This window comes from Homo sapiens, chromosome 3 (genome assembly GCF_000001405.40).
Source record: "Homo sapiens chromosome 3, GRCh38.p14 Primary Assembly".
NCBI classification, from domain to species: domain Eukaryota; kingdom Metazoa; phylum Chordata; class Mammalia; order Primates; family Hominidae; genus Homo; species Homo sapiens.
Genome location: NC_000003.12, coordinates 177,093,954 through 177,107,182, shown reverse-complemented (window position 1 = coordinate 177,107,182; position 13,229 = coordinate 177,093,954). Strand labels below are relative to the sequence as shown.

The following is a 13,229-nucleotide window of genomic DNA, read 5'->3' as shown; positions in this document are numbered from 1 at the left end:
TGTGTGTCCAAAGCACTTCAGAATGACAGTTTTCAGTTTAGTAATTATCCGCTGACATATTCTTAATTTTTTTTTTAAAGAGGCCTATTGCATTCTATTACAAAGTAAAAATTGAAGCTGTTTAGTTGTGAAGAGTGTTTGAAGAACTGCTTCATTTAGAAGGTGTTCATTATCACTGTGAGGTTATGCTAGTCAGGATGACTACTGTGGGCATATTCCAAATCTGTTGTAATTAAAAAGTTTTATAAATGATAATTTTTTTTTTTAGTAGTAATGCTGTTGTGTTAATTCACTAAAAGACATAATGTACCTGGATTCAATAGCCTTAGTAGCACACAGGACGGCAGAATCTGAATGGGCAGTTTGTGTCCTGCACAGAGGTACACAGCCAAGGGAAAAGTGGGCACTGAAATCCAGGCCAAGCTGTTTCCCTGTTAGCGGACTGTCTTCACAGAGGAAGGAGCTTCCTTTATAACAATTTATTTCTGTTATTTAATATGCATTATGTCTTATTACTATGCTAGGCACTGATTAGCACTTTTTATTCCACTCTCCTAACTTATTTTACAGATGAAAAAGCGAAGGCACTGAGAGAGGTTATCTAGTTACTAAGAGTCAGAGCCAGGGAGTCCAAACCCACCTGTGTGGCTCCACAATTCCAGGCTCTTAACCTCCGATACCACGTGGCTTCCTTTTTGTAATTTATTTTGCTAGAGTCTAATTTGCACAAAGGTACTGCAGAAGCTAGTGCTGGCGCTGATAATACACTTGAGTGCTAAGTTAGAAAGGGATGGGGCGCACGTAGAACAAACTTCAGCTCATTTGCCTAAGTGCCCACTAGAACTTCCTTGATGAATCACATATCCAGATTTTGTTTGAACATTGTCATTGATTTGCGCGATGGTTTCCCTTTATATTGAATAGGAAAAAAATACCTTTCTATAACTTCTGCCTACTACTTAAAATTTTGTCACACATAGCTGAGGCTCATTTGGGCTTTATGTGTTTTTTATGCATTTTCTTCTTTTTTTTGTTATTATGTTTTGAAGTCTTTTTAGGCCCCTTTCTGTTTATGGTGTCTTCATTATCATTGTCCTTACTTTTCTGTTCATTTTTGGGAGACAGATTGAGTTTATCTTTTGTTTGTCATCATTAATCTTAAAATTAGATTAATAAACCACTTAATTTAGTCCGATGTAGTATTAACATATTTCTCCCTCTAGTTCTGAACACCTCTCACTTTGCAATTTAGTATTTGAAAGAAGCGACTCTCCTGCCTTAGGTTAATAATTAGACCTGACTAGTAAAATTCTCCATCCTGTCCCTTCCCTTCCCACCCCCACCCAGTGGTTCTCAGTCCCCATTGGAATCACACACATGCACACACACACCCACACACTGACACGGGGTGGGTGGGGAGGATTTTAAATGCAAGTGATGTAGATCCTACCCTAGACCAATTACATCTGAGTGAGGGGCTCACCACGTCATAGTTAGGTTCTAATCTGGGGCATTTCTGTAGGACAGAGCTAATCAAAGACAGTCTTCTTGGCAGAGCCATTCTCATTTCTATTGGAAATGTGTTCAACTGAATGATTTGTGTGTTGTAGCCTAATTAGCTATTCAGATTCTTAATACCTTGAATCAGATATTCAAACCTTAGGAAGAGTGAGAAATCTATTAAGATGTAGGAATGTCAGTTTTCTTTTCTAACTTAAGTGCCAGTGTACCCACCTGTGTGGTCTTAGGCAACAAAGCTTGATATCCCCCCTTCATATTATTTCTTAGATCTTCGTTGCTGTTTCTACTGGTCCACCCCTCCTTCGGCCCCCCACACTTGTTTCTTTCTTCCAAACTGCTTTTTTAACAAAGGGTTTAGCAGCTATCAAACTTTATGTAAACAAGAAAACAGTGTCATATCTGTCGTATTTCAAAGGCACTGTAAGTTACACCATTAATTTAATAACATTTTGGGGAAAACAGTTATAGTTACACATTAATGCTCTACTCACTTTAAAGAAAAAATAACTTAAAATCATAGATACATTTTTATATTAGTTTTCAAGTATCCGTAAATTTGGAGTGTAAGCTTTTTCTCATGTTCAAAATCCCTATCACTGAAGGTTTGTGAACCGGAAGCTTTTGATGCATAGGCGTTAGTGCCTAAGTAATACACTTGACTTATGTTAGCATTAGAAACTGTTCAAACCAACCTTTAATTTTAAGAACTCTGTGGGTCATTGTAAGAGAGTTTGTGCTGTTGTCTTTAATTGCATTGCTTACCCTGTGACAGAAAAATTTAGAAATACTTGAGAGTTTTTTGTTTTATTCTTGCACAATAGTTTATTTTTGTATAATCTTAACATAAAATTCAATGACATGTGATGTTACCAGTGAAACTAATTCAACTAAGGTAGTAATTAGGTGATTAGACACCAGTGCATGTTTAAATTGTTTTCTTTTTATGTGAGTATGTGGTCTTGAGAATAGCTTATTTTTAAAAATTGGTGTCAGATAACTTTTGAATCATTTTTCCCCTAATCGCTTAAGTAACAATGGGAAATGAAAACATAGGCAGTAATTGCAAAGCTGTGCGTGATCTGACAGTGAGTCTGATCTCAGAGTCACTTAAGATATCCCTGCTGTTATAGCTCCTTCTGCTTTTCACCTGCCTTACCTTCTGGCTGTCTAGAATATTATCTGTATGTGTAATTCCATGGGAAATGAGGATCGGGTGAGGACAGTGGAGGATGTAATGCTTAGAGGCTTTGACGTATGCGTAGTATGTTGTTGGAGATAACATACTAACATTCCTTTTTGTAAAACGGATTAAGAAGATTCAGTTGAAACTCTGATTTACAAATATGTATATATTTAATTGTTCCATTAGGAGGTAATACTGTTTTTGTTTCTTTCTTAATTGTGCTTTCAATCATGTGCTAAGCAATTTAATTTGAACTTTTTCTGTGACTTTTCCTGGGAGTTAATTTAATAAAAATCTTTCTAAGCAGGGTCAATTCTGGTAGAATTCTTATATATTTCTCTCTCTCTCTTTTTTTTTTTTTTGGAGACCGAGTCTCGCTCTGTCACCCAGGCTGGAATGCAGTGATGTGATCTCAGCTCACTGCAACCTCTGCCTCCTGGGTTCAAGTGATTCTCCTGCCTCAGCCTCCCGAGTAGCTGGGATTACAGGCATCTGCCACCATACCTGGCTAATTTTTGTATTTTCATTAGAGATGAGGTTTCTCCATGTTTGCCAGGCTGGTCTTAACCTTCTGACCTCAAGTGATCTCCCTGCCTTGGCCTTCCAAAGTGCTGGGATTATATTTTTCTCTTAATTCATGGGGTGACTTTCCCAAATTCTGTACATTAAAACAAAATAATTTTATTTTTTAAGGATACCAGATATACTTCCTTGAACTTGTTACTGACCACTAGGTTCTAGATTAGAGTGTGTTGCTACCTTAAATAATAAGTTTTTATTGTGTTTGTACCTTTGTCTAGGAAAAGGGCCCATAATGTCCATTAGCTTTTCAAAGTTATCTATAAATTAAATAAATTTACTTCTAGAGACTGCAATGTAGTATTTTTGAAGAACAGTCAAAATATATCATTTGCTTTTCTTTAGAATTTTTCCATGTTAAAAAAACTTCCTAATTGTGTGTAGGTGGCAGATCTTAGAAGATGTCTGCTAAGTCAACAGTGTCTTTCTATGCTGTAAGCCTTATCTAAAATTAATACTTCGTTTACTTTAGATAAAATGCTCTGAAATACATTTTTGGAAGCAAAGCTTTTTGTTTGGAGACAAAACACAAACCTTACAGCCATTTATTTTATTACAAGAAGTAAATATATTTAGTTTATGTAGTACACAAAGGAGGTGATAGTTTTTACACTAATAATGTGATTGATCATGTACTTCTTGAGTTTCTTGTTAATGATGGAAGATCCACCTTTATTGGTCACCTTCTGGAAGTGGTGTTAAAGTTACTGGTATATAACCAGGTTCTCTCAAGCATTTTCAAAGTAACAATCCACTGGTGAGTTTTTCCTTCCCAGTGTGATTTATTTGTTCAGTAATTCAGTGTCTACTGCATTTTATTTTCAAATATGTTTATATCTATTTCTCTATATCTAGACACTAACATTTTATCAGCATATATATCTTAAGAATCATGTATGTTCAAGGCATTATTCTTAGTTCTGTTAGGGAACAGCAAGATGATTAAATCAGTCCTGGGTCTCTAGAAATTTGATCAGAGAGGTATGATAGAAGAATAAGGCACTATGCGGTTGTGGAAAGGGAGATATGTTAAGCTGGGGCTCATTTCTCTCTCTGGATGGTGGGGTGGATAATTAATGGAGGAAGCTGATTGGGCCTGATCTTTGGAGGAGGGATAGGAAGATTTGTGAGCAGAACCGTAGTCAGAAGGACATTTCTGGTAAGGAATGAGGAATGTCAGGGCAGCCAAAGAGTGCAGATAACACTGCACACAGTGATCTGCTGTGGTGAGAGTAGAGAATGTTGAGTAAAAGTAGAAATGCAGATAGACGGGACACACATGTTTTGGACTTGAATTCCTTTAATACAAATAGTTTCAATAGTTTCAATATACATTGTCAGACTATCTTAAATGCACCTTAAGTTTTGTAATTCCTTTGTAAAGTATATCACTATATCTTTTAAAATTCAGATGTTTATTTTAATTACGTGGTGTGCTTTATAAATGCATTGCATGATGGCTAGGACATAGGTAAATGAGTTGACTAGGAAAACATCTAAGAAATAAAAAAATATGGTCCTGCGTATGTTTCTAGAAATTTTCCAGATTAATTTGCAGGTGCAGTTGGTATACCATTTTTCACATATTTATTCACCCTTCAAATCCTAGAATCAAATACTTTTTAACCATGTCATCAACTATTAAATCACTATTGTGGTCTTTCTCCTTAACGACTTGTAGTATTAATAGGAAAAGTTAAATGAATGAATGAAGACAAAGGTAGAGAAAAGGTAATTAGTGAAAACTGAGATTAGATACATCTATGAGGGTGATGAGAGACTCACTGATGACCGAAAAGTTAGAAAAAGAAACTGGAAGAATGATCTGATTTAGCATTCTATAAAGGTAGATGTATGTAAGTTTGTGTGTTATATGTGTACCATATCTTATTAGTTTCTATGTTCATTTATTTATGTTCATTTCAAAGTAAAAAAAAAAATTCTAATGGTTAATACAGGGGTTCAAATTTGTACCCTCATTTGGTTCTAGTATAAGAGAGTCATGTAGAACATATTGTACATAATGCTATTTGGAGGAAAAAGTGGAGGTTCCGCAAAGCACCGGTGATACATTCATTCATTCGTTCTGTTTCCTGGAATTGCTATTATTTCAGCTTAGTATTGTAAGTTTATTTGTCTTAGTCCATTTTCTGTTGTTATAACAGAATACCATAGACTGGGTAATTTATGAATAAAATAAATTGATTTCTTATAGTTCCAGAGGCTAGAAAGTCCAGGCTTGAGGGGCCGCCTGTGGGAAGGGCCTTCTTACTGCTTTATAACATGTTGGAGGGCATCACATGGCAAGAAGGCAAGAGCGAGTCAGCTCAGGTCCCTTTTGCTCTTCTTATAAAGTGGCCAGTCCCATCATGGGGGCTACACCCTGATGACTTTATCTTAATACTAATTCCTCTCAAAGGCCCCACCTCCAAATGTCATCAACATATGAATTTGGGGATTAAGTCTCCAACACATGAAATTTGAGGGACACAATTAAAACACAGCATGTATTCACTTGTGTTTAATTACATAGATTTGTAGATTTTATTACCCAGTTTTAACCAAGCCTCACCAAAACAGGCTCATGACTTAATCTTGCAAAAAAAAAAAATTGCATCTAAAACCAAAATAGTTAAGAAACAAGCCAATGGCGGAGCCAGTACTTAAACTACAAGAGTGAACTCTTCACTTGCTATGATCTAATCATTTAACAAATGTCTGAAAAAAAAATAGCGATTGTCATGGCTGGGCATGGTGGCTCACGCCTGTAATCCCAGCAGTTTGGGAGGCTGAGGCGGGCAGATCACCCGAGGTTGGGAGTTCGGGACCAGCCTGACCAACATGGAGAGACCCCCGTCTCTACTAAAAAATACAGAATTAGCCAGGTGTAGTGGCGCGTGCCGGTAGTCCCAGTTACTCGGGAGGCTGAGGCAGGAGAATCACTTGAGCCTGGGAGGTGGAGGTTGTGGTGAGCTGAGGTCGCGCCATTGCACTCCAGCCTGGGCAACAGCGAGACTCCGTCTCAAAGAAAAAAAAAACCAAAGAAAAAGAAAATAGCAGAGCCAATACTTAAACTACAAGAACGAACTCTTCACTTGCTATTATCTAATCATTTTATAGATGTCTGAAAAAAATTAGGGATTATCAAGAAAGATGTTTGAAATGTAGATTATTTGGCCCAGCACAGTGGCTCACCCCTGTAATCCCAGCACTTTGGGAGTTGGAGACGTGTGGATCACTTGAGGTCAGGAGTTCGAGACCAGTCTGGCCAACATAGTGAAACCCCGTCTCTACTAAAAATACCAAAATTGGCCAGGCGTGGTGGCTTGTACCTGTAGTGCCAGCTACTCAGGAGGCTGAGACCAGGAGAACCACTTGAACTCAGGAGGTGGAGGTTGCAGTGAGCTGAGATTGTGCCATGGCACTTCAGCCTGGGTGACAGAGTGAGACTCCGTCTCAAAAAAAAAAAAAGTACATTATTCACTGTTGGTGTTGATGAGCTTTGCTCTACAATTAAGTTGTACCTTTAGATACTAGTTAATGATGTAAAACTATCATTAAGACATTAAGAATGTAGAATGTTATGAACAAAAATATTATAGCACTGTAAATAAATAATTTATCTATCTTTTACTTATGTTGGGAGTTTTTCTTGTTTGTTTGAGACAGAGTCTCTATCACACAGACTGAAATGCAGTGGCATGGCCATCTCAGCTCACTGCAACCTCTGCCTCCCAGGCTCAAGTGACCCTCGTGCCCCAGGCTCCCGAGTAGCTAGGACCACAGCCATGCGCCACCATGCCTGGCTGATTTTTTGTATATTTGGTAGTGATGGGATTTCACCATGCTGCCCAGGCTGGTCTCGAACTCCTGAGCTCAAGCGGCCCGCCTCGGCTTCCCGAAGTGCTGGGATTACAGGCATGAGTCTCTGTGCCTGACTTCTTGTATGTGTTTTAAAATACACATTATTTAGTAGTACATGTTAATTATTTATAAATAAATTGAATGCATGTATGCCAAAAAGTTTTGTGACAAAAATGCTCCATTGATTTTTAGATAACAAGTAGCCCTATATAACTTTAGCTCAAAAAGTGACAAAAACTTTATACTGAAATAATTGACATTCATAACAAATGACCTTGAGGTAAACAGAGCCTAGTGGTATCTAGTCATGATGTGTAAAGAACATTTCCTCAGTCTGTGCTAGAAAGGACCTACCGAGTAGCTCATAAGTGCCTCTAGGCAACAAACCTTGGGGGCTCACGCCCACGCCCTGTTTTGAAGCACCAGGGATTGGTGGGATAGTGTATGTGGCATAATCATCATTTACTTAGTTATCTTCTTACTTCACCTAATTGGTGTAGGAGCTAAACCTCCCATATATAGTAGTAAACTCCTTTCTGTGGTGTCAGCTTGATTTTACTCTTTAGAAAACTGTACTCCGTGGTGGAAACTGTACTGGTCAGTGTTCCAACTAAGAGTCTCCTCTGACATGGTATGTGAAGTATAACTTTTTTGTTGTTGTTGTTGTTGAGACAAAGTCTCGCTGTTGTACCCCAGGCTGGAGTGCAGTGGTGCGGTCTCGGCTCACTGCAACCTCTGCCTCCTGGGTTCAAGGGATTCTCTTGCCTCAGCCTCCCAAGTAGCTGGGATTACAGGTGCCCGCCACCACGCCCAGCTGATTTTTGTATTTTTAGTAGAGACAGGGTGTCTCCATGTTGGCCAGGCTGATCTCGAATTCCTGACCTCAGGTGATCCGCCTGCTTCGGCCTCCCAAAGTGCTGGGATTACAGGCGTGAGCCACCGCGCCTGGCTGCAAAGTTTAACTTTTATATTTACACAAACGGTTTGTGGAATATAAGGTGCCCTGACTTAGCAATTGAGAAAACTGGATAAGCCCTATAAAGTTTAAAGAGAACAGAGTTAATAAGTTTTGATTGAAATTGTTTCTAAACCAATGATATATTTCTCTTTATTATTAAACAATATAGAATGCAAGTTTATGCCATTCTTGGTGGCCCATGATTATAGATTATGAACATACTAATTGGACCGTAATGCAATAATATTTACATGAGTTGAGTTGCCTGGTGGTGAGACCACTTGTGTGCAGATGAATCTCTTTGAGTCTCATTTTGTTCACTGTGCCAACCTCTTATGAACGTTCTAAAGACTTGCCAAGTATTAAGCACTCAAAAGTTGCTGCTGTTGTTTATGATAACAATTACTTGGGGGAGAAAGAAATTCACTGGTGGGGACCTTAAAGAATATTTCAAACATGTAACATTTGGTATGGAAAATCTTTTAAACTGAATTTGTTTTAGGGCACATTGAATACTTTACTTTCCTTTTCCTCAGCATCAACAACAGCAACTTGTGATTGGCGGTGACCGGATATTCAGTTGCACATCCCCACATCAATGCACTGCCAATGGTAAGACTCTCCAACTCCCAATGTCAGTGTTTCTTATTCTCTTGTTTTTAGAATCTTTTGAGAATTTTGAAAGTTTCTCACAATTTGACAAAATACATGTGTTCCCAAGCTAAGTAAGTGTTTTTTTTTTAAATTTTTTATTCTTTTTAAATATATGTAGTTTAAAGTATTTAAAAATAACTTTTGAATATTTTGTAAAGGAAAAATTGCTACTTTTGAAAATTTCTATTTTCTTTTCTTTTTATGTTTTTTTGAGACGGAGTTTCGTTCTTGTTGGCCAGGCTGGAGTGCAATGGCGTGATCTCCGCTCACTGCAACCTCCTCCGCCTCCCAGGTTAAAGCGATTGTCCTGCCTCAGCCACCCAGGTAGCTGGGATTACAGGCATGCGCCACCACGCCCAGCTAATTTTTTGTATTTTTAGTAAGAGACAGGATTTCACCATGTTGGCCAGGCTGGTCTCGAACCCCTGACCGCAGGTGATCCGCCCACCTGAGCTTCCCAAAGTGCTGGGATTACAGGTGTGAGCCACCGCATCCAGCTGAGGATTTCTGTGTTCTGTAGTTTTAAAAACGTCTTAGCTACGGTCATCAGGATGAAAAATATTGTTATATCGTGATGGTCTTGTGTTTTGTCAAATGAACTAAATTTTGTGAATAGTATTTTCTTGTTAAAAATGCAACAGTGGCATTTTGCTCTTCTATTTTTGTCCATAATTTCACTGAAATAGATTGTTTTTGTGTATTGCATTTATCCTAATATTTTTTAGTTATGTGCATTTAAATGGCTAGGATTCTACCTGTTATAATTAATCATTTTAAGGAGAGTCATTCTTATCTACTTAAAAAGATTTTTAAGAAGCCTTTCACTGTAGAATATAAATGGCAATCATGTGATATAGCAGAAAGACTAGTGGACTCTGTGGGAGCTGGCATTTGCTTTATTTCCTGAATATACTATGAATCTTTGACTTTTGGCAGTACTCTTATAAAACTTAGGTGATGGAATTGGACTTTCTAAGGTTTATTCTAGCTGTATGTCAAGTGCTTATCATTGTTAACTGGAAGTCAGAGTGATTCTCTCTTAAAAAAAATTTCTTACCGAAATAATATTGTTGTGTATTTTGGGGATAAATAAATAGAAGATAAATGAATTTTTACTTTTTTAAAGAATCAAATAATAACATCTTACATTTATAAATATTTTCTGTAGTTCATTACCAACAATTTTAGTTTTACTAAATTAGGGAGGCATAAAAACTGATTGAGGTTTATAGAATTTGGTGGGAAATGATGTATCAGTCTGAAAGAAAAACTATTAAAAGTTAAGAACCAGAATAAGTGGTTAAGATATTTGTGAAAATATTCCCAGAAATAATTCCTATTAGAGATGGATTTTTTTCAGTATGTTGATAGGAGGATTTTCTCTGTTTAAACTCTTCTGAATTCCTATTGGGGAAAAAAGGTTGACCTCCTCCTTTTCCTGTTCTCCTCCTCTGCATCCTGCTCACCCTCTTCCCTTTCCTCTCCTCCTCTCTCCTTTCTCTTTTCTCTCTCGGGTTGATAGGAGATGTTGAAGAAAATAAGATGTCCCCACCCCCCAAGCCAAGCTTTACCTAGCACAAAGGATGGCATGGTTTTTGTTAATTTATAAAGCACTTGCTGGGGTCTTTAGATTGCTCTGGCAACTCATTAACCACTAGATCTGCTGTTTCCCAGGGAGTACTAGAGTTTCTCATGAAAGAAACAGATTCATGGTAAATCAACTTTGGTATTTGGAGTATCTGCTCTTGGCTTTTTGTTCACATGAAGTTTTTGTTCAAATGAAGTTCACATTTGAAACCTGTTACTCTTCTTTGTTGTCGGATCCTTAGTATTTGTGGCACGTCTCCCTTGGCAGTCAAACCAGTTGGGTATCTGAGATACAGGTGTCATGAAGCTACCTATCTCTTACAAATGCCTATCCTTAAGTGAAAAATTTTTATGTGTTACTCATATAGACTGTTTTTATAACCGCTCATAGACTATATTTTAAATTAGATCATCCCAAACATGTTTGTCAGTTTTGTTGAAAATCTCTGAAATCATTTTAATGTCATGATCACAGAAATTTAAGTGTGTGTGTGTGTGTGTATGTATGTATGTTAGTGTGTGTTAGAGATGAAGGAGACCAAGATTACAGCAAACTTGCTTACAGTCTAGCTAAGGACACTGAAGCCATTTCTATATATTTGCACAGATGTGCTAGTAAATTTGTAGGTATTGGTTCAAAATGGTATGGTTTTCCCATGACCCTCAGAAATGCAATAATAATCTGGGTTGAACCTGTGCTGTGTAGTATGTCATATTTATTTTCTCTGAAAATGCCAGAGTGCTTAGTGGGATTATATACAGTTACCTCTACTACCTCCCTACCTACCCTCAACAGTGTTTTTTTCTCTTAAAATTTAAAAGGTTGGTATATAGTAGTTGTACTTATTTTAGGGTACATGTGATATTTTGATACTTGTATAAATATAAAATGATCAAGTTAGGATAAGTGGGATATCCATCTCCTCAAACATTTTTCTTCCCCTTACTGAACATTGTTCTTGTTAAAATAATATGAGGGATTCATAACATCCTTTTTTGCCTTCACTCTTCTTTTACCTAGACACAAGTAATTTTAAATCTAATTGCACTTTACGGCAGGGTGCAGTGCCTCATGCCTATAATCCCAGCACTTTGGGGAGGCCGAGGCAGGCGGATCACTTGTGAGATCAGGAATTCGAGACCAGCCTGGCCAACATGGTGAAACCCCATCTCTACTAAAAATACAAAAATTAGCCAGGCGTGGTGGCGCACACCTGTAATCTCAGCTACTTGGGAGGCTGAGGCAAGAGAATCCCTTGAACCTGGGAGGCAGAGGTTGCAGTAAGCCACTGCACTCCAGTCTGGGTGACAAGTGAGACACCATCTCAAAAAAAAAAAAAATCTAATTGCACCTTTAATCATGATTTATAGCTGCTTTCCTGTATAAAATGTTTCATAAATACTTTTTTGTAATTATCTCATATTGCATTAGTAGGACCCATTGGCCAGCAGGTGTATATTATTATTTTGACTTTTTATTTATTATTTTTTGAGACAATCTACCCTGTTGCCCAGGCTGAAGTGCAGTGGTGTGATCTGGGCTCACTACAAAACCAAAACCGTATACCCATTAAACAGCACCCGCCCTCTCCTACCCGCCTGCGAGTTCCCAACACCCCCCTCTCCCCCTAGCCCGTCCTCTGGCAACAACCTTTTATTTCTGTTTCTGAGTTTGCTAGATACCTCATATAGGTAGCACCATATACTATTTGTCTTTTTGAGATTGGCTGCTTTTTAACATAATCTCGTGATGATTCATCTGTATTGTAGCCTGTGACATTATTTCCTTGTTTTTTTTTTAAGGCAGAATGAGATTCCATTGTATGTATATAACGCATTTTCTTTATTTTTTTATTCTTTTTTTATTTCAGTCGGTTTTTGGGGGAATAGGTGGTGGTTGCTTACATGGATAAGTTCTTTAGTGGTGATTTCTGAGATTTTGGTGCACTCATCACCTGTGCAGTGTACACTGTACCCAGTGTGTAGTCTTTCATCCCTCTCCATCCCCCACCCTTTCCCCCTAGTCCACAAGGTCCATTGTATATTCTTATGCTATTGCATCCTCCTCATAGCTTCGCTCTCACTTATGAGTGAGAACATGCAACGTTATGGTTTTCCATTCCTGAGTTACTTCACTTAGAATAATGGTCTCTCATTCCATCCAGGGTGCTATGAATGCCATTATCCATTCCTTTTTGTGACTGAATAGTATTCCATGGTGTATATACACATACCACAATTTCTTTATCCACTTGTTGACTGATGGGCTGGTTCCATAGTTTTGCAGTTGCAAATTGTGCTGCTATAAACATGCGTGTACAAGGATCTGTTTCATATAATGACTTCTTTTTCTCTGGGTAGATACCCAGTAGTGGGATTACTGGATCAAATGGTAGTTCTACTGTTAGTTCTTTAAGGAATCTCCACATTGATTTCCATAATGGTTGTACTAGTTTACATTCCCACCAGCAGTGTAAGTGTTCCCTTTTCACCACATCCACACCAACATCTATTATTTTTTCATTTTTTGATTACAGCCATTCTTGCAGGAGTAAGGTGGCATCACATTGTGGTTTTGATTTGCATTTCTCTTATTTTTAGTGATACTGAGTATTTTTTTCATGTTTGTTGGTCATTTGTATATCTTTTGAGAATTGTCTATTCATGTCCTTAGCCCACTTTTTTATAGGATTATTTGTTTTTTTCTTGCTGCTTTGTTTGAGTTCCTTGTAGATTGTGAATATTAGTCCTTTGTTGGATGTATAGATAGTGGAGATTTTCTCTCACTCTGTGGGTTGTCTGTTTACTCTGCTGATTGTTCCTTTTGCTATGAAGAAGCTTTTTAGTTAATAATTAAGTCCCATCTTAATTTATCTTTGTTTT

The 13,229-nt window shown here is 37.7% G+C and overlaps 1 protein-coding gene across 15 annotated transcripts in view; it reads left to right on the top strand.

Annotated features, from left to right (window-relative positions):
- TBL1XR1 (TBL1X/Y related 1) overlaps positions 1-13,229 on the top strand; it is a 182,457-nt gene that overhangs the window by 94,618 nt on the left and 74,610 nt on the right. For 10 of the 15 annotated variants that reach the window (XM_047448940.1, NM_001374330.1, NM_024665.7 and 7 more), the window contains one exon: positions 8,642-8,717. The exons of 4 other annotated variants lie outside the window; for them this stretch is intronic. Coding sequence is in view for 3 of the 11 variants with exons in the window: in XM_047448941.1 (XP_047304897.1) it covers positions 8,642-8,717 (76 nt within the window). In the remaining 8 variants the exon portion in view is untranslated. Of the gene's footprint in view, positions 1-8,635; positions 8,718-13,229 lie in introns of those variants that run through there. One more of the 15 variants, XM_047448947.1, reaches the window with a different exon arrangement.